At 34.6% G+C, this 23528-nt stretch overlaps 1 protein-coding gene across 1 annotated transcript in view; it reads left to right on the plus strand.

Moving 5' to 3' along the window:
* The window catches only part of ZNF804B (zinc finger protein 804B), a 578829-nt gene that overhangs the window by 459213 nt on the left and 96088 nt on the right, over nucleotides 1-23528 (plus strand). The window lies entirely within an intron of this gene.

Here is a 23528-nt window from a genome sequence, read left to right on the forward strand (position 1 = left end):
GTTGGTCTTGCTGTCTCAGGGGTGGCAGAGGTCAAAGAAAATCCACATGTAAGTGGACCCATTCAGTTCAAAGGTCAACTGTATGTAGGGAAACCAGGACCCAGGAAAAATAATGTCTTATTCAAAGTTACTTAACTAGTTAGTGACAGATTTAGAATCCTGGACTAGTACTAGGACAGAATCTATTATTATAGTCTACATCTTTGTTCAAGGGTCAACTGTATGTAGGGAAACCAGGACCCAGGAAAAATAATGTCTTATTCAAAGTTACTTAACTAGTTAGTGACAGATTTAGAATCCTGGACTAGTATTAGGACAGAATCTATTACAGAATCTATTATAGTCTACATCTTTCAAGGATTCTAAGTTATAGGAAATATTAGGTCTTTGGGAAAGCAATTCTCAATAAAAGATTACATTTTCCTAAGCATACTCTCTTAAGAAAGTCAAAGTTGTTATTTAATAAATGAAACATTGAAAACAGGCAAACAAAAAATCCAAAAGGGAAAAGCCTAGGGGTAATCACAGGTGAAAACATTTCAGTTTATTTACTTGAAAGATCATATGGGCATCTATATTATTAGTGTGGATATACTACATATGGCTGCCTAAATTACCTACTCTCCAAATGTGAAGGAAGAGGCTATTGTTCTCATCTGGTTAGATGTTATCCTTGCTGATTGAGGTATGGCGATACTGGCAATTTAGGAATGTTAAATACCACCGACTGAGAAAAAAAATTTCATGTGGCCAAAGATTATTGCTAACAGCTGTAACAAGGTACACATTCCTGATACCAAATGGACCTGGCATGTTGGAATGTGTGGGTAAGTCTTGTATACTCTATCTCAAATATTTATTCAGATTAAACAAAAATAAATCTTTCGTCAGACATCACTAGCATTATATTGAGTGTATACTAAATATATATGTATATATATGTATATATGTGTGTATATGTAGTATATGTGTGTATATATGTATATATGTGTGTGCATATATATGTATATACATATATGTGTGCATATATATGTATATACATATATGTGTGCATATATATGTATATACATATGTGTGCATATATGTATATGCACATATATGTGTGTATACATATATATACGCACATATATGTGCATATATACATATATACGCACATATATGTGTATATACATATATATACGCACATATATATGTGTGTATATACATATATATACGCACACATATATGTGTGTATATACATATATATATACGCACATATATATGTGTGTATATATATATATCCTTGGGAAATGCCAGCCTGACGAAGACACAGCTTTTATCCCTAAACGTAAGATATATGTATATAGTTGGCTTCGTTTCTCTGACAAGGGCAAGATAATGAGATAAACTGTTTTAGGATTGTAATTCCCAAATCCTAGTGTGCATAACAATGACCTCAGAATATGTTAATTGTTCAGATTCACAGAATCTTCCTCAGATATTCTAGTTCAATAATTCTGAGATAGGATCTAGCAATCTATATTTTAAAATGAATTGAAAATGAAAAATTTCAAACGTATATAAATGTGAACTAATGGCTATCACCCAACTTCAATGATAATCAATCTTGCTTGATTTATACCATCATCGCTCACCACACCTCCACCATTGTTACATTATTTTGAAGCAAGTGCCAGATGGTATATCATTTTATCTAAAAGTATTTCAAGATATATGGTCATGCTTTAAAATTGATGCTTTGATTATTATCTAACCTAAAAATCAACAGTAAATTTTTAAATACCAGTTAGTGCTCTTGTTACCTTAGTGGTCTTATAAATGATTTGTAAATTTGAGTTCATTGAAATTAGGATCCCTAAATATCCACACTTTTGGTTGGCATGTCTTGAAGTTTATTTTGGTATATTTTAATCTATAGGTTTTTCCATCTCTTTTAAAATTGTACATTTTGCAGTTCCTTTTCACATTTGGGATTATGCAAAATTCTACTCACTGTTATCTTTCAACATTTTCCTTGGTTTCCTTTTCACTGGTTTTTATGGATAGAGATTTGGCCAAATTCAGACATATTTTTTTCATGGCAAGAATATATTAGAGGGTATTTTGTGTCCTTCCATAAGGAGGCATATAATGTCTGGTTGTCTCTCTTTTTATAATCTTAAGTTTGATGAGTGAGTTGAGGTACTATCAGATTATTGATCCATTTATCATTAAGTTTCCACTGGCTTTTTTCTCACTAATGATTTCGTAGACATCAATGATCATTTGCTCAAATATCTTTATTTGTATTTATAAAATGATGATTCAAATTCTTTTACCCCTGCTACATATATTAGATAGATTACGTCTGTAAAGAGAAACTTCTTATAAGCACCACCGCCTGTGGGATTTTATGCAGGTGGCTTTCAGGCTGAATATTAAGAAAAATTTATTCAGGGATTTGGAGAAATAAAAGACCAGGAAAGGTCTCATGCAACAGTGGAATTTGATTTGTGCCTTACACACGTATAAATGGATGTTAAAATAGAGGATCAAGGTGAGATGGCATTCTTGTCAGTGGGAATAGAAGCTAAGGTGAGAAAATCGAAGAGCATGAGGCATCTTTTGAGAACTGTAGGAAGTATTGAACTACCTGGGGTGAATCTTCCATATCAGGTCTGCATGCCACAGCATCCCGTGTACTCTGGAATCCTGCCTAATCAATTTGTTTTTTTATCATTTTCTTCAATCTTATTTCTATTAGCTATCTAACATGTTGATAAACAACCTTCCTCAATATTTCTATTCTATTCTATTCTATTCTATTCTATTCTATTCTATTCTATTCTATTCTATTCTATCTATATGCACACTTCCATCTTTCATTTATTTGCTTGTTTCATTTGTTTATTGACTTTCTGTCATTCTAACTTTCCTGGGTATTCTCCTTCATTAAACAATGATTCGGTTTCTACTGTGTGCTACTGTGTCCATTGTGAAAAAGCGACACATTTGGCTTCCACCTTCAGGGAGCTGGTAATCTAAATGAGGAGAAGACAAATCAGTAGATCTTGTGATACATTAATTTAAGTGTTGTAAAAATTTTATACGTAGGACACTTAAAAGAGAGCACACAAAACTGATTCCAGAAAGAAGAGAAGATAAATGAGCTGGATTTCTTAAAGACTGAATAGAAGCTAACTGTGTACTCAAGAATAATAGGTCCTATATGGTAGAAAACCTATTATCAAGGCATGGGGGCAGTTAAAAAGCGTAATCTATGAAGAAGCAAATGATTCACTATGGCTGCTTAAGGCCATCATCACTATCTTGGGGATCACTTTAGAAATCTTTGAAACTGCATCCTATTTACCTCTGCTTTTTGCAGTGCATCTTGTCCTCATTTTTCATTTTGCATTCTCATTTCCACCATCATAATTAATCTCACTTCTAAATTATTGCTGAGGTCTTCAAACTGGACTCCCCACCTCCAGTATTTTTCCTGTTCCACACCAATCCATCCACTTATGACCAGATAAGTCTTTTCAAACTATCCCATTTATATGATCACTCTTTTCCTAGGAAATCTTTAGTGCTTGATGACTGATTTTGGAAAGGGTCTGAACTGCTTATCATGCTATTCAAATCCACAATCTGGCTCTTGACTCCGTTTCCAGATTTATCTTCTGCAAATCCAGAATTTCCTTACAGTTTCTTCAAACATGTCTTATGCTTTCCCACATGCTCATCTTGGATCATTATCTTCTCTCTCCCTGAAGTGCCCTCTTGTCTTGTGTCTCTTTTTCAACACATACTTCTGCATATTTAATGCAGAAATTGACAACTTATATGGGATATTAAAATAGCTGAGATTTCATGGTAAACTAATTTAACACAGAATTTTAAAAATACCTTTTGCTTGAAATCTATTAATATTATTGAGAATTTTTGTATACGCTTCCCACTTTAAAAAACATTGGAATAATTAAATTTGCTATAAACTTTGTTAGACTGCTTTCTTGGATAATATTGAAATACTTCCATTTAAAGATTTATTTTAGCCCAAAATATTTTGAAAATTACCTCAATTTTGGATGAAGCTGAGTTACACTGAAGTAAATCATGCAAAAGTATATATTTTTTCAAATTTCAAAGCTAAATCTGTCCATTTGGTTCTTTCTTCTTTAAGAGCTCTTCTTGATTATGATAATGATTATAATGGTGGTGGTGGAAATTTGGCTATTTTTTGGCCTGAGTAACGTGAACAGTTGCCATAATTTTACTTTCCATGTAGATTCAGATGAACTAGCTGGCTTCTTCTGTTGACCTTCCAAAAATATGCTCTTTTTGGTACACTTAGAAGTAAATCCAAATGCTCATGAAATCCATTCTATTACTCATCAATAGAACATCTTAGATCTGATAACGAAATAATCTATGAATACTCTTCTCTGCTTTTCCTTCATTCATGTATAATTACTCAGGATCCCACCGCTTAATAAGTAATTTCTGAAGCATTTGTTATTATCGTCTGTCAGCATCATGTGTTTATTTTATCACAAAGATTATATTTTCATGGTTATATTGTAATTCTAGACGAGTAAGTCAACACACAACTTCAAGAAATAAAGTAAAAGAGTATGTGATACATATATTTAAATGAATTCCATTGGAGCTTTAAAAATATTTTTCTATAATTTGAATAAAAATTAAGATTATTTATTTATTTATTTATTTATTTATTTTTGCCTCATGGCACTCCACTATGGGCAACACAGTGAGACCTGTCTCCAAAAAAAAAATTAAGATATTTTCTTAAGTATTATTTGTAGAGAAAGGCAGCTCATCAATAACACACCTGATTTTTTAAATTTCTTCAGTGAGGAAAAATAATGAATTTCTAGCTTTGACAAGCCACTCTATATATAGCTCACGTTTTTGGAAACAACTCAATATCTTAGCTATTGCCTTGAACTTCTTAAAATTCTGTGTAAATGTTGAGTATTATTCCTAATGCAGTTTGAATGTGTATACAAATTATAATCACTTAGATAAAGACAGAACTGTAACTATTAATATAGGTAACATGTCAATAACAGCTAATTCCTTGTGAGACTACCTAGAAGTCATAATCCCTTTCTCAAGATTGTTAGCTGCAAATGTATTACTGGGATGAATAATACACATCCTCACATGCAGCAGAACTCTCTCCTGCCCCAGGGACATTCTGACTCATCTCAATTTTGAAAAAACAAATGAGCCAGATCCCTGTACAATTAACCCATAAAAAATATCTTTAATAATAAAAAACAAATCCACTTTGAAACCCTCCACATGTGACGCTTCATCCTTCTAATCTCCATTTGCTTCACAATAGGATTTATTTTTACCCAGAAGGAGCTGTTCACTTGTCAAGCCCTGGATTTGAACTCCAACGGATTCATTGTTTAAAATACTGTTTTGGATTCACCCCATCTCTACTTGCTCTGGATAACATATCAAAACAGAACTACCATTGTCATCTTGACCTTAAGAGGAAAATACCCCAAAATTGCTAAAAGAATTTAATCTAATTCCCTTTTTTTGTTTCTGCAATTTGATTTATATTTTCCCCAAATACTGCCCAAGTGATATATAGTATGTTTAAGTTATTAGTCCTCTAAAAGTGCTAACAAAATGTCAAAGTGTAGATGAGTGGTAGGGTCAGCAACATTGAAGAAATAAAGACTGGAGTGCCTGGAATGAATACCTTCAGTACCATAAAATAATACTCTCTCCTGTTCCATTTTGCATTCTGTAAACCAATATTTCTGGCAAAGTATGTGTGTGTGTGTGTGTGTGTGTGTGTGTGTGTGTGTGTATGAGTGTGTGTGTGTGTGTATCCTGGAATCACCCAGCAGTAGTTGCAACCTTTATTAGCAGAGAAGTATAAGACAAAAGAACCAAAGGTGATCTTAGCTTCCTGCTCCTATTTAACTCTCCCAAATTACTGTCTGTATCTTAGCCAAGAGGCTTTTTGCTCTCAAGGTTCTCCTTACTGAAAAATATATTAAAAATTCTGCATTCTGGCTCCTTCTGACTTCCAGATATATCAAGTAGTTTCCTTCTACCTTATGACACTGGCTATAGCTGACTGTTCCCTCTGTCTGGAAAATTCTTCTATCTGACCTTCAGTGTTCTCGTTCTCTTCATTTGTGTCTCAGCTTAGATGTCACCTCTTCAGTAGGACATTTCCCTTTTACCTTAAGTAGTCAGTTACCAATTTTCCAGTTCTAATGTCCTGTTGCCACTATCAGTGGGGGTGTACCTTGTAATGGCCAGAGCCAGCTGTTCAATATTCAAGAACTTTGTGAGCTGGTTGTTTAACTATTGGTAGATTGAAATCAGCCATAATAGGATATCTACAAACACTACAAGTCAGGGCTTTCTGTGTTTTGTTTGGTTTTTTGAAAGAGTTGATAGACCAGCAGAAAACTGCTTATTATTCTTTAAAAAGAAAAAAAATTACTTTTTAAATTTTGTCCTCATACTCCACTCCCAGCTATTAACCTTATAAAGGGAAGGGCATGGTTCTATTAGCCACTGTGTCTCTAGAACTTAGAGCAATTTCTGGCACATAGTAACATTCAGTAGATTTTTTTTAAATGAAAAAGTAGCTGAATAACTTGGTTTTTAGAGTAGACCATTTCACTCTGTCCTATGTCAATACATTGACCTATCATTGACTAATCATTTCTTAAGTGAACAGAGTAAATACTGTGGTAAACATATGGGGTGCCTAATCTCAAGTTATTTATGATTATTGAACAAAAGGTGTCATGAAATGACATTTTTATAATTTAAGAAAATATTTGATCCCATATTATTGTTGACAAGGTGTGCCACCCCAGTATGTTCAGACTTGACTTTGTGGAAAATTGCTAATCTTCAAGGACTTTTAAGCAAGCAAATGATATGACTAGATTTGTGATTTAGAAAAATAATCCTAAAAGCAGTTTATGTTGGTACACAAGAAGGAGAGCTTGGCTCTGTGATGAGATAAGCGTTCAAGAGTTCAAGAGAGACAATAGGAGTCTTTATAACAATGACAATGAGGGAAGAGAAAGGGATAGATTCTAAAAATTGTCAATGGATTACAAAATGTGAACACATGTTTTGCATAACTAGTAATCAACTAATACAAATTTGAAGAGATTTTAAAAGGTAAATATGTCAAGCGTGAAAAAAAGAATCATACCACCCGGTGTTGACAAGGTGTGAGAAAACATTGCTTATGAGAGTATAAATTGTCTTAATTCTTCAGCGTTCCACTTTTGATTATTATGAAAAGGCTTAAATTTAAATTTTTCTTACTAACAGTTCCATTTGGTAAGTATCCTAGGAAAATAATCAGATGAATTTCAAATATTTATGTATAAGGATATTTAAACTAGAAAAATACTAGAAACAATCTAAACATACAATGAAGAGAGAGTGGCTAAATTATGGTGGACTTAAACTGGAATAATATGCTAGAATTAAACTTAATGTTTTGGGTCTACTAAAAATAGATGATGTAAAATGTAATTCTTAAAAGTTATTATTAGATAATTTATGTTAAAAATCAAGAAATACAGAAGTGTAGAAAAATATTTAAAATTATTTAATAATAATTTGGTTCACATCTTTTCAGATAAGTCTCTAAATGTTTACTATCCAATCACAAACTATGATGTAACAACATAAAATGTGGTTATGCTATACATAATAGTCTTCATATATTTTCACTTAATGTTATATCTCATAAGTCCATAGAGATCTATATTTTATTGTGTTGTTAAATAAATACTCGGAATTTACATTATTGTGACTTGTAAATATTTTTCCAACTGAGCTTCATAACATACTATGATGACTTTATGAGTATATCTTCTTCCTGGAGTTAGAAATTGCTTGACTCTTATATTTCATCAATTTTGCATCACTGCCTATTACTCATTCTTTCCTGAATTATATACCATATATAAGAACAAAGTTTCATTAAAAACATCACATAAGTCAGATAATCAATTAGTCCTTTCTCCCTCTTCCCTTACACATATATAGTAAAGGCCTCCGTCTTTCTGCTCCAATCCTGACAATTTGTTCATCAGGTCAGATGCATAGCTATTGTTCTAGGACTTATTTTCACCATTATTTTGTAAATGCTTTTGCTTCTATCCTGGATTACACTTCTTGTTTCCTTGATCCCATGGCTATGTTTTCTTTATTTCCTGATTTTGGTGGAACCTATCCTCTAGGGCTTCCTAACAAAGGATACATATGAGATAAAATTTGGGGATCCTTGTCTATCAGTAAATGTGTTTATTCTACCCTCGCAGTTGATTTATTTTCAAACTGAGTTGTAACTTTCAGTTTTATTGTTGAGAAGCTATATGCCATCTTGTATCCTAATTGTTCCTTTCAGGAAACCTTTAAACTTTTCATCATCTCTTCCTACAACAAAAATTGGTCTAGTGCCTTCTGTATGCCCAGCACCATTCCAAATGCTGGAGATTCATTATGGAGTGAACCAGACAATCATCTCCATCCTCATGGAGCTAACATTATAGAGAGTGTATAAAAAAGAAAGTGAACATATAAAATATGAAAAAATATATAGGATATCAGATGTTCTACATGCTATGGAGAAAAATAAAGGATTGAAGTGTACAGAGAATACAGTGGGGTAAATAGCATTTTCATTAGGGGTTTTAGTAAAGACCTTAATTAAACAGCAATTATGAACAAGGGCCTAAAGGATATGAAGGAGCAACCCATAGAGCCATCTCTCTGAGAGAGAGAGAGTGTTCCACACAGAGGGAATGCCAAATGGAAAGTTTGGGAAATAGGGCCATTTAGTGTTCCAAATACTCCTAACACATTAACAGTCTAGAACAACTTGCCTTTGGATGGCTTTCCAGTTATTGTGCAGGGCATTCCATGAGATCTCTCAACAGGGAAAAAAATATGTCATTTGTTTTAGAAAAGTGGTATTTTAATATTATTTCTTTGATAATATCTTCCTCTACAATCTATTTCTCTGTTTTCTTTCAAAATCTGAATACACAATTAAAAGACAAAGACTGTCATAGTGTGTCCAGAATTGGCGGGTTCTTGGTCTCACTGACTTCAAGAATGAAGCTGCAGACCCTCGCGGTGAGTGTTACAGCTCTTAAGGTGGCACGTCTGGAGTTTGTTCCTTCTGATGTTCGGATGTGTTTGGAGTTTCTTCCTTCTGGTGGGTACGTGGTCTCTCTGGCTCAGGAGTGAAGCTGCAGACCTTCGCAGTGAGTGTTACAGCTCATAAAGGCAGTGTGTACCCAAAGAGTGAGCAGCAGCAGGATTTATTGCAAAGAGCGCAAGAACAAAGCTTCCACAGTGTGGAAGGGGACCCCAGCAGGTTGCCACTGCTGGCTCAGGCAGCCTGCTTTTATTCTCTTATCTGGCCCCACCCACATCCTGCTGATTGGTAGAGCCGAGTGGTCTGTTTTAGCAGGGCGCTGATTGGTGTGTTTACAATCCCTGAGCTAGACACATAGGTTCTCCACCTCCCCACCAGAGTAGCTAGATACAGAGTGTCCACACAAAGGTTCTCCAAGTCCCTACCAGAGTAGCTAGATACAGAGTGTCGATTGGTGCATTCACAAACCCTGAGCTAGACACAGGGTGCTGATTGGTGTGTTTACAAACCTTGAGCTAGTTACAGAGTGCTGATTGGTGTATTTACAATCCCTGAGCTAGACATAAAGATTCTTCATGTCCCCACCAGACTCAGGAGCCCAGCTGGCTTCACCCAGTGGATCCCACACCGGGGTGCAGGTGGAGCTGCCTGCCAGTCCTGCACCATGCGCCCACACTCCTCAGCCCTTGGGTGGTCGATGGGACTGGGCGCTATGGAGCAGGGGGTGGCACTCGTTGGGGAGGCTCCGGCGGCACAGGGGCGCACGGAGCAGGTAGGGGGAGGCTCAGGCATGGCAGACTGCAGGTCCGGAGCCCTGCCCCGCGGGAAGGCAGCTAAGGCCGGGGGAGAAATTGAGCACAGCAGCTGCTGGCCCAGGTGCTAGGCCCCTCACTGCCCAGTGCCGGCGGGGCCGGCCGGCTGCTCCGAGTGTGGGGCCCGCGGAGCCCACGCCCACCTGGAACTCGCGCTGGCACGCAAGCACCACGCACAGACCCGGTTCCCGCCCGCGCCTCTCCCTCCACACCTCCCCGCAAGCTGAGGGACCCAGCTCCGGCCTTGGCCAGCCCAGGAAGGGGCTCTCACTGTGCAGCGGCGGGCTGAAGGGCTCCTCAAGTGCCGCCAAAGTGGAAGCCCAGGCAGAGGAGGCGCTGAGAGTGAGCGAGGGCTGTGAGGACTGCCAGCACGCTGTCACCTCTCAATAGTTCACAAAAAAGACTCAACTCTGAGATGTCTACAAGAAACCCACTTCAAATATAAAGACCGATTAAAAGAAAACTAATAGAGAAACATGCACCGTGAATACTAGCTGGAAGAGCAGCATTAATTTCAGGCAAAGCTGAGTTGAGCAAGAAGCAAAATTTTCAGAGATAAAGAGGAACATTGCATAATGATAAAGGAATTATGTCTCCAAGAAGACATAATCTTTTATGTGTATGTATTCAACTCACAACAGAGCATGAAAATATGTGATGCAAAACCTGATAGAAATGCAAAGAGAAACAGATGAATCCACTATTTTACTTGGAGATACCAATACCTGTTTGTCAGTAACTGACACATCTAGCAGGCATAAAATCAGTAAGAACATAGTTGAACTGAACAGTTACATCAATCAATTGGATCTAACTTATATCTATAGAATACTTCATCCAACAGCATAAGAGTATACATTCGTCTCCAACTCACGTAAAACATTCACCAAGAAAGACTAAATTATGATTAAAAAATACACATTAAAAGTTTTTAAATAAAAAATCATACAAAATATGCTCTCAAATCACAATGTAATTAAACTAGACACCTGTAATAAATATTTGGAAACTCACAAAACCCTTGGAGATTAAAAACACACGAATTAAATAAATATCAAAAAAGTACAAATATTTCAAGCCAAATGAAAATGAAAATATGTCTTAGTAAAATTTGTGGAATGCGGCAAAGAGTGCTTAGAAAAAATTATAGTGTTGAATGTTATATTGAAAAAAGAAATATCAAAAATTGATAATCTAAGATCTTACCAAAAAAACTGCAAAAAGAACAGCAAATTAAATTCAAAGTAAACAGAAGAGATAAAAATTAGAGCAGAAATCAATAACACTAAAAATAAGAACCAATGGTGAAAATCAATGAAACTAAAAGCTGACTCTCTTAAAAAGATACAGTTAATGTATCTTTAATCAGGTTAACTAAGGAGAGAGATAGACATGGGGAGGGGGAGAGAGAGAGAGAGAGAATGAGCGAGTTAGGATAATAAAGAAATAGTATAAGTGACTCTGTCCCCCCAAATTTGATAACTTTGATGAAATGTTAATTTCTTAAAAGACACAATCTATCCAAACTCATACAAGAAGAAAACAGATTATCTGAATATTAAAGGAGAAAACTAAAGTTGGTGAGCTAACACGATCCAGTTTCAAAAAGTACTATAAAACTAAGTATGTAAATAAGTAAATAAGACGGTATGGTATCGTCAAGAGAATAGATCAATAGATCAACAGAGCAGAGTAGAAATCCCAGAAATAGACATGCACTAATATAGTCAACTCTTGCTCTTTGACAAAGAAGTAAAGGTAATTCCATGGAGAAGATATTCTGTTGAACAAATGGTGCTGAAACACCTGGACATCCACATACATCTGATTTTCTAAAAGAAGCTACAGGCCTTTTCCTAACTGTACATTATTCAATCATTATAGTATGTGTGTAGTGGTATCTCACTGTGATTTGTTTTGATTCCTCCAAAAACTAATAATATGCAACATATTTTCATTTGCTTATTTAACATTTACATATCTTCTTTGGTGAAGTTTCTATTCACAAATTGTGCTAATTTTTCTAACTTGGTTGCTTGCCTTATTGTTTAAGAATTTTTACAGTTCTTCATATATTTTGAATGCAAATCCTTTATGAGATACAAGGTGTATAAATATTTTCTCCCAGAATTGCAAAGTATTTTTATATTTCTCTGAATATTTTATAATTTTAGTTTCCTAATATAGGTCTATGATCTAATTTTGAGTATTAATTTTTGTGCATGATGTGAGGCAAGGGCCCAAGTTCAATTTTTTTCTTATAGATATCCAGTTGTTCCAACATAACTTGAGGAAAATGCTATTTGTGTCTCATGGATTTACTTTGGAAGCACTGTTTGAAGATTATTATTCATAAATGTATAAGTTTATTTCTAGATTCTCTATTTCATTACTTTGACTTATATGTTTATGCTTATGCCATTACCACGCTATCTTATTTGCTGTAACTTTATAGCAAGTTTTGAAATTAGATAGTATGAGTTCTCCAAATTTGCTCTTGTTTTTAACAATTGTCATAGCGATTCTAAGTCATTTGAATTTTGATATAACTTTTGGATTCTGTTTGCAATTTCTAAAGCAAACCTATTTGGATTTTGATAGGAATTGCACTAAATTTAGATTAATTTGATGGAATTTTAATCCTTAACCATATTGAGTCTCCCAATTTATACATATATGTCTCTGTTTACTTAAATTGCCTTTAATTTATTGCAGAAATCTTGTGTAGTTTTTATTTTACACATTTTTTCTTGTTAAATATGACACATATTTTAGTGATTTTTATGCTATTTGAAAGGGAATTTTAATTTGACTTTCTGTTTGTTGCCACTACATGAATATCCAATAGATTTTTTATATTAATATTACTATTTTATATCGATCCTGTAATTTTGTTCAACTTGGTTGTTAGTTCTAGCATCTTTTTTGTTAGACTTTTAGGATTTTATGTATATAAGAACATGTCATCTACAAATAAAGCCAGTCTTACTTCTTTCTTTTTGAGCTATATGCCTGCACTTATGTTCTTTCTTGCACAGAATTCCAATGTGGTGTTGAATAAAAGATGCAGAAATGGCCACTTTTGTGTTCTGAATCGTAGGTAGAGATAATTCTTTTGACATTGAGTATGATGTTAGTTATAAGTTTTTAATAGAAACCCTTTATGAGAATGAAAGCATTTTTTTTACTCCTAGTTTATTGAGAGGGTGTTTTATTTATTTTGAAATTATAAACGGGCTTCCGTTTAGCCAGATGCTTTTTTTTGCATCTACTGAGATGAATGCGTGGTGCTTGCTCTTTATTCTGTTAATGTGGTATAAGATATTAATTGAATTTTTGGATATTAATTCAACCTTGCATTTCTGGAGTAAATCTCACTCATGGTGGATAACATCTTTTTTATAATTTATAGGATTTAAAATTGATGATGATTTGTTAAGGATTTTTGTGTTTCTGTTCTTGAGAGAAATATAGTTCACTTTCTTGAGATATGTGTGTGGCTCTGGTATCGAATACTAGAATTAGAAATGAGTGGGAAATGTTTCTTGCTCTTCCAATTCCTGAGTTTCTGTAGAGTTATTATTCATTCTTTAAATGTTTAATAGAATTTACCAGTGAAGCTACTTTTAGGTACTCTTTTCTTTACTTACTGAAAATTTATTGAGATCATTCTATTTCTTCTTGGCTCGATTTTGGCAATTTCTGTCTTTGTGTAGGTATTGTCCAGTTCATGTATGTTGTCAAAAACTTGTTGGCATAAAATTATATGCAATATTTTATCATAATACTTTTAATATACCCTATCTAATATCCCCTACATTATTTGCTTTGGTGACGCCTGTCTTCTCTATTTTTCTCAGTAAGTCTAGCTAAAGGTTTATGAACATTAGTAATCTTTACAAACAAAATCTGTTTTCATTTATTTTCTTTTTAAAAATCTACTTGCCATTGATTTCTGATTTCTCTTTTGATATGTATAATATACTTTCTCCTTATTTTGTGTGTAATTTATTTATTTTTATTAATTTATTTTTGAGATGGAGTCTCGCTCTGTCGCCCAGGCTGGAGTGCAGTGGCGCGATCTCCACTCACTGCAAGCTCCGCCTCCCGGGTTCACGCCATTTTCCTGCCTCAGCCTCCCGAGTAGCTGGGACTACAGGCGCCCGCCACCACGCCTGGCTAATTTTTTTTTTTGTATTTTTAGTAGAGACGGGGTTTCCCCGTGTTAGCCAGGATGGTCTCCATCTCCTGACCTCGTGATCCATCCGCCTCGGCCTCCCAGAGTGCTGGGATTACAGGCGTGAGCCACCGTGCCTGGCCAATTTATTCTTTTTTAAAGGTTTATTTGCTTTTAACCAAACCTGAACCCTTAGAGTAACTGTTAATATAATAATGAGTTTCTTAAAGTAATTCTATGGGGAACCAATAAAATTGTGCCAGAGCACACAGACATGTGGTTGTCTGACTTAGAAAGTAACTCTGAACAGAAAAATAAATATATAATGTATTTTTTATGAAATCCTCTTTTGATAAATATTTTACAATCATGAATTTGATATTTTCTTGAGAAGTATTGATTATAGCCATTTTGTTTGCATTTTAAAGGTGTACTTACATGGTTTGGCCATATTATGAAATAAATGAAGGCCAAATAAGCCTACCTCAATGTGGGGGTGGGCTTCAGTTTGAGGGGTAGGCTGGAGGAACACTGAAAAAGAGAGCTAACTTTTTTTCTTCTCTTTTTTTTTTTGAGATGGACTTTCACTCTTGTTGCCCAGGCCGGAGTGCAATGGTGTGATCTTGGCTCACTGCACCCTCTGCCTCCTGGGTTCAAGTGATTCTCCTGCCTCAGCCTCCTGAGTAGCTGGGATTACAGGCACATGCCACCATGCCCAGCTAATTTTGTATTTTTAGTAGAGACAGGGTTTCTCCATGTTGGTCAGGCTGACTTCAGGTGATCCGCCTGCCTCGGCCTCCCAAAGTGCTGGGATCACATGTGTGGCCATTGCTCCCTGCCAGTTTTTTCTTAAGAAGTAGTTTTGTGTCTACTCCAGTGCATAGAGTAAAAGCCTTAGCATTTTCCACAATGGAGTGTGAATCTATTAATTTTAGACATAATGTCATACCTGTTTGCAAAAGGGAGCTAATTCTTCAACTTAGCCAAAAAGCCATGTAAGTAAGTAATCATTAGGAGTTTTAACTCAATATAATTTTTTGACTTATAATCCAAGATAAGCCTAGCTAATATAATGAGCTTGTTTTTAAGTAGAGGTATTAAAGATATGGCAATTAATTGTTGAGGTGTATATATGTTAAATGATCTGTTTCTTTTGAATTATACTTCTGTGATATTCCCTTTTCTTTTTTTTTTTATTGTGGTCAACCCCCTTTTCTTTCATAATAGCTAGCTAAATGGGAGGAAGTGTATTAAATTGACTACTACTCCATACCCAGAGTCTTTACCCACTCTTAATATCAAACTAGATTCTAACTTTAGGTATAATCTACTTAACCTCTTTGAATAGTAAATGATACCTACTATATAAGATTTCCATGAAATTAAATACCACCTGTGATGGTTAATATTAAGTGTCAGTATGACTGGCTAGAGGGATGCCAAGATGGCTGGTGAAGCATTGTTTTTGGGTATGTCAGTGAGGGCATTTCCAGAGGAAATTGGTGTGTCATACAGGACCAATAGAAACAAGCAGATGAAAGCGAGGGGTTTCTGTCTGTTTCTCTTTCTGTTTCCTCGTCTCTCCCCACTCCCATTTCTCTCTCCCCATTCCATAAGGAAACACCTTTCTCCTCCTTTCCTTGGACATCAGACTCCAGGTTCTTTGGCTCTTGAATTATGTGACTTGAATTAGCAGCCTCCTGGGGTCTCTCGGGTGTTCAGCCTCAGACTGGGAGATGCACTGTTGTCTTTCCTGATTCTAAAGCTTTCAGACTAGGACTGATCCATGCCACTGGCTTCTCTGGTTCTCCACCTTGCAGATGGCCTCTCATGAAATTTCCCTGACTCTGTGAGTTCATTTCCCTAATAAACCCTCTCTCTTATTTCTTATTGGTTCTCTCTCTCTGGAGAATTTGGACTATTACACCATCATAAACTCTCTCAATGCAGTGCTTAATCCAATAAATACTTCTATAGTAAAAATATATTTTTTATTTTTATTTTTAATCTGCATGTAATTGTCTCCTTATCTTTTTATTCTCTATGAGAGCATCAGTTTTCCAGTTTATCCAATATCATAAAATGACAAAACAAAAAAGTAAAAATATAATCAAACCTTTCCTCACTCAACTAGAAATTTCTGTTTATTTTTTCCAGAGAAATATAGAAATATCTGAATCTTAAAGAACCTTATAAAACCATTAGGTATTAGCAGATGCAGGTGTATATTGCACTTTCACATATTAAATTATTGTCAAGTCTTCTCCATAAAGTCAAAAGCTAAATGGAAGTAAACGAAAAGAGAACTTCACACGAAGTAATGGTGGGACACAATGGTCCATGGTGGTACACATGGACTAAATCCATATCAAAAATCTGAGTTACCCTCCACTTAAAATAATTCCATATGTTTCAAACACAATTAAGGAAACTGGAATACATTTGAGATTCAATTTTGAATAACTAATGTGTGTTAAATTTGAGCAGTATAAAAGCTGCCCTTTGCAAAAACATCCTGGATCCAGATATATATTTGAAAAAAAGAACTTAATTGGCTATAATAATAGCAGTGATGGTCACCTATTCTTTAGGACAGTTTTTTAAAAAACTGTTTGAGGCTGAAATATATTTGCCTTCTGTGGGCAAAACCTGATGACCATATTAATTTAGGCCCCAATTTTTTTTTTTTCTGAGGAATGTAACAATTGACTAAACTGAAATGAAATACTCTTATTTGAATGCTTCCCACAATGTCTTTGTACTCAGAACAAATATTTAGAAATAGGTAGTAAATAAATGTGTATCAAAAGAATAAAGTCTATTAACATTAAAATAAGATAAAAAGAAAATTTTAAACAAATTTTGTATCAAAACCACATTCTTTATGTATGTTTTGTGGGGGAAACCATATATCTGTTTTCAAAGTTGGCTCCCAAATTTTTGTAGCTTCTCAAATACACATCAAGTTATAATGCTTAGTAGGTGTAATAATATTTGTCAATGACCTCAGCAGGTAAATTTTTATCATTACTTGGCCTCCATATTTGATTAAATTCAATCAACATTTATTTAGCTCCTACCATTTGCAAAGATCTGCCTAATGTGATTTGAGGAGAAAACTGAAGTAAGACATGTCTCTAGTCTTTAGGAAGCTTCCATATGCACGGTAACTAGATATCCAGATTTCATTTGGAAACCAGTAGACTCTTGAGCATATGTAATGATTCCTAGAGCGGTGAGGTGAGAAGAGGAGAGCATGTAAGATAAGTATACATGTAAATCTAACATATTGAGCCAACTGTTATGAAAATTACAAAATTCCCCATGGTGATTAAAATAAGAGAAAATAAGATCAATATGAAAATCATTAATGGACAGCAAAGTTCCATTCATACATATATAGAGAAAAGAAATAATTCTCAAGGCAATTAAAATTAGAACTTTCCAATTTATCTGATGCACATGTGACATTCACCTGGTCATTTAGTGTAATTAGAAATTCACATTAGTCATATTAAATTCATGGTAAAATACAAAGAGTTCAGAATCCCAAACCATAGTGAGATTTAAAATTATGTTTATGTTTGAGAGAATAAATTGAGATTAGCATACATAATTTAAGTTTTATGAAATCATTCTCTTAGATTTAATAGATGGTGCTTTTATATAAGGAAATGAACATGGCTCATCTCGCTGTATTCTTTTTGCAATTCCATAAAAATATTCTGACAAGTAATTTTAGAATCTGGAAGTCTTGTTTTTGGGGTTAGACTATTGTTTTCTAATTAATATAATTTTAAAGTTTAAATTTATTTTTCAGATTTTACATGTGAAACATTAGGAAAGATTAATACATTGCTAATGACATGAAGGTAGTATGGAAAAGTAGGCAGAATAGCAACCCAAAGTCTAAAGCTATGACTCCACCATTAATAAACACTTAGAATTTAGTAATGTCACATTGTGTTTCTTAGTTTTAATATTCATGTGAAAATTACGATAATAACACATATCTCACCCAGAAGAAAAAAAAATTGTGAAGAAACTTAGAAGTTCTAAAAATATAAGGTATAATGTAAACATGAATAACAATAACATTTATAGCTTGATGTTTTTTCAGGCCTTGTAATTTTCAAAATATGTGTATATAGTTAGCTGATTAGAAGAAAATATGGTTGACTCATTACTGTGGAAATAGCCTGATACAGTGAAAAGGCCATGTTTTCAGTTAGAAGACTTAGATTTGAGCCCTAGTCCAATCACTTTTTAGTTTTCTGGTTTCTGTCACATCATTCATCCTTACTGAATACCTTCAGTTTCCTTAGGTGTGATCTATCTGAGGCTCATAGATCTGTCCCATCCACTTGAAAATGTTGATGTGATGATGATGATGAGTTCAGATGAAGCATGTTAAAGTACTTCATAAGTTCCTAAACAAATATAACTTTATTTTTCTTATCTTGATTTTCTAAACAAATTCATTTGTGTAGTATGTTAGCTCTAGGCAGAAGGTGCAGGAATAAGTACAGTTCAGAGAAGCTGTAGTGGGGTAGTCAATGGCTTCCAAGCCTGAGTCAGAACTGTCAATCTTAGGTTCACAGCTGGGTGTGCTCCAGAGAAACTGGACCATAGGAACTGCCTGTCATGAAGTTTTATAACTATTCCAACTATTCGGTGCAAGGTGATTGCTGCCAGCACTTCTCTATATGCTATGGGAAAATTACACACCAAAGATCTGTCATATACAATTGCTTTATTCCAGATACTCACAATCCAGACAGAGAGATAATAAACACAAAAGTACTCTAATAAGAATAAAGAGTTTAAAACCATTTACCAAGTTTCACAAAGAAGAAACTGTTAATTGACAAATGACAAGTTAAGAAAATAATTGCCCCTCTCACAAATACTAGAGATCTGAGCATATCTGTCTGCAGATGGGAAGAATCAAGTAAGGCAAAAAAGATTCAAAATGCACGAATGAATGCAGGTAAGGAGAGGGAGGATAATAGAGCAAGGGGTTTTCAGTAGGCAAAGTGGAATTAGATCAAAGCACAAGTAAAGCAGACATGGAAAGGAGGAGGGGCAGAACTCTGAGAACAAGGGCATTAATGAGGGAATGTTTATAGAAATGTATATTTTGAAATGGAGAGAGGAAGATGAGAAAACTGATGTCTGATGTTGATTTTATGAATCATCTGATGAACATAATCCCTAAATTTATGAAACTACATCTGATGAACATCATCCCTAAATTCATGAAACTACTAGTTTTCTAAACTAAGGGTTGTGATCTGTGAGTGGGTCATGACTCATTATGGAGTCATTGAATCATTTTAGTGGGTTGCAACTAGTAATGTTCAAAAATAAAATAGGCTGAAACAGACAATATTACATCCCACTGCATTTTGTAAGAGCAAATTTGTTTTGTGAAATTTTGTTGCAGTTAAATTTATATGTATGTGTATCCTGGGTCATGAAATAAAAAGGATATTTTCTGTGGGGTGCAGTTAAAAAATCCCAAAAACCACTCAACTAGAGAATCTCTATAAACTGAACAGAAATATTGCCAAGGGGCAAATAAAGCTTGTACGTATCATGCTGGTTTAGATTTGTGTTGAGTAGTTAATACAATGTCTGCCTTATTCCAGTGGTTCTCAGAAGGCCAGAAGCACACATTAAGGAACTAGTGATGTTGATCAAAGGTTAGAAATTAGACCCAGTGGAGTTAGGGCTGTTAGGGAAATGAAGATGCCCTGGGTGTTGTTGAGGCTAGGTCAAGGTGGCAGACCTGACTTTCCAGACTATTGCAGGAGGATCCTCAATTATTAAAGCTTCAGTTGTTGGAAAATATCTTTTCCATTGAGCTTCAAGTCTACCTTCTTGTAATATCTACTCTTAATATCTATGATTTTGTCTTCTGGTGCCACACACCATAAATCTAATCACTTCTCTACAACAAGGAGTTTTATGTTTTTAAAAATAGCTATTGTCATTTGGGTTCACTTGGGTCTAAATGTAATGCTAGTTCAGGGAGCCCTAGAGGCCTGGAATCTTATAAGAGTGAGTACAAAAATTTAGTTGAAACTGTAGGCATGATAAGGGACTGGTTTGTGCAGGACAGAGTCTGTCAAATCTGAGGATGCCCAAACTGAATGGGACAGGTGTGTGGGTCAGCAGAGGGCACACACATATGCAGAACTGCCAATCAGGAAATGAGATGGCAACCACAACATCATTTCTGAACTCTTCTCCCTCTCTTTGAATTGGCAATATGCCTTGAGAGAGGGCCTGATACCCCAGAGTTCAAGTCGCTCTTAAATCTTCATTCCTGCTTTTTCTTCAGCTTTTTCTCATGGGTTTTCAGCCCTTCATATGTCCTCAGAACAGCACAGCCCTTCAACTTTTCTAAATCCAGCTATTTAGAATACCTTAAATGTATATCACTGGCCAGTTTACTGTGCTTCTGAACATGTAAGGAACTTATCAATTGAATATAAAATTAAGCTACTTAAAAATATTTGGATAAATCAGCTGTTTTTGAATGACTGATTCTGTGTTTGGTCACATCGATAGACCCATTTATCTATGAGGGTTCCCATATGTAGATTAGTTTATTTATATCTACAGATACATTGAGTGGGGAATAGAAGTTTCGCCTATAATTTTACTCACTTTTAACAATGTGGACTTTCTGTCTATATTATGTCATTTTTCTTTATATATATATATAAAATTTAATAGATTGACATTTTTATTACATTAGTTTTGAAACTTTCATTGAAAAATCTAGTGTTTCATTGAAATAACTGTATTATATATGGTCTCTTATAATTCAACTGAGTGTTTAATATTGGGCAAATACATTCTTATGTCATTAATGGTATCTAACTTCTCAATTAAAATAAATTCTCTATTCTTGTGAGTTATGTATTGCACATTAAATTAGGATAAAATAATAATTAATTAATTGTAAATATTTTGAATAAAATGTCTTGATTTCTAGTTACTACTAGTATTTTTAAAAGAGAAGCATGATTTATTTTTCAGACAATAACTTACAAATAATCATATTCAAATTGTCATTTTATAAGTAGGAAACTGAGTTCTACAGATATTTAATAATTTTCAAAGTCATTTTGCTAGTCAGTAGTAACAGAACCTAGCCTGTATTTCTAGCTTGAATAAGTACTTTAGCTTCCTCAAACTCTTGTGGGTTAGGTCTGATACTGCAATAGAAAGGCTATGTCTATCAGATTCCCTTTTGGTTATGTGAGCTTTGCGTGGGTTTGTTCATGTAAATCCCATGCTGAGGTGAAAGTTTTTTTTTCTCTCTTTCTCTTTTTTTTCTGTAAAATGAGCGTTTTGTACTGCTAACATAATTCTTATATATTCTAAGTGAAAAATCATTACATAGTTGTCAATGTATCTCACCTCTCCCTAAATAACCTCTACTATTTATGATTTAGAAATGAATTCCCTCCTTACTTGACCTCTTGCTTGATTTATAATCGACATAGTTCCTATATTTTCTGCTTATATTCTTCATTTTATATTTAGTGCATCTCAATTGATTTTTCTTCTTTACCTTGCATTTTTTTCCACTTTTATCTTCATCTTCCTTGGCTCTCTACACTGAGTATAAATACTAGACCATAGTTTCAACCCATGGGAGCAGAGCATAATTTCTTGCTGAGTACTTAAAATTTTCCTATTTCATTCTATTTTATAATTGCTTTACCCACTGGTTTTCAGAAGATAGGCCTTCATTATTCCAAAGTATGCTTGGTTTATTGTTTAAAAGACACAATAGGCTCACCCCACTTTAGTCCATTTCTAGCCATGCTTTATTCTTTGTTTAACTTTTAATTGCTATTCCAAACTCTACAGTGTCTGTAGCAGATGCTGGCACTGCCGTGTCTGTATTACTCAAGCCTTTCAAGTGTCCTCTAACTTTCTCCCAACTGTCAGTACCTACATCTCTGTCTCTGTGTCTGAGGCATTCGTTTTTGTTTTTACTGTTGTTTTACTTCCTAAAACCACTGAAGGCCATTCTGCTCTTACGTAGAAGAGATATGAGGCTGGACTTAATACAACTTTACTCCCCCAAATCCCTAACAAATAACCCTACTGAATATAAACATTCCATTCCCTTTATAAACAGGAGAATTCTGAAGCATAGGTTTTATCCCAAGTTCCAGTACTTTTCCATGAGATGAAGCTTCAATTATTCACTCCAGGTAGCTGATTTCATAACAACCTTTGTTGGTGCTTTTTTCCTTCTCTGAACCACTACCTCTACTCCCTGCCAGTGTTTCCTGGCCCCCTGAAATACACTATTTACCCTCAAATCTTTGTTTCAGAGTCTGTCTCACTAATTTCCTTGAAGCTATAGCTCTCTGATTTATGAAGTAGTGACAACACTTGAGTTTTGGCAGAATTAAATAAATGTGCAGAACCTGATTCATAATAGGTACTCTAATACTATTGTACCTAGTTAAAATAAATGCTGTCTTTAACCTCTGAGTACTTTCTCCCAAATATAATTTTGCTCCCTCTATATCTCAATAGAATGAGCTATTTTTTACTGCATGGACAGAGCCATGCCAGTGGTCACCAATGTGATAAATCTGAGGGTTGCATATGAAGAGTTCACACATTTTTCTTTTATGCCTGCAACTCCATTGCTAGTCACACATTTTCACGCAGTGAGAATAGTCTTTTTTTTTTTTTCTGCAGTCCTATTTTAATCACTACAAACACTACAGGGTAATGTTCAATGAATGGTTATTGGAAGAGTCTACCTTTTTCTTTTTTTTTTTTTTCTCTTAAAGGAACAATATGCTATGATCTTTCACACTTTCCACCAACTTCTCTTCTCCAGGCTTTTCCTACTTATCCTGTAAAACTTAATTTACAGGTCTTCTACAAAGCTTGACCTCATCCTCCAAAGCTTTTAGTTACTTTTACTCTAAGTTGCCATAGCTTTTAATATTTATTTCAATCAAAGTGCATAATCTCCTGAACTGTTAACTTATTTATCTCATTAGCAAGATCCTTAATTGATGAGGCTGGGTTATTTATTATTGCAACTCAACACCTAGAACAATGTTTATGCATACTGACACTCAACTGTTAGATGAATGGATTAAATTTATAAATACTGTTGGAAAGAAGTAAGCTATTGTTAGGCCTTAAAGTGGCTTTAATTGAATCTAAATTTTAATTGAATAAATTGGTACATCTCAATTGATTTTGCTTTTTTACCTTGCTTTTTTCCCCTATATATTAAAATTACTTTTAATTGCAAAAATTGTAATTACTTTTGTACCAACCTAATAAATAGTTATGGAATATG

Source organism: Homo sapiens, chromosome 7 (assembly GCF_000001405.40).
Source record: "Homo sapiens chromosome 7, GRCh38.p14 Primary Assembly".
NCBI lineage: Eukaryota > Metazoa > Chordata > Mammalia > Primates > Hominidae > Homo > Homo sapiens.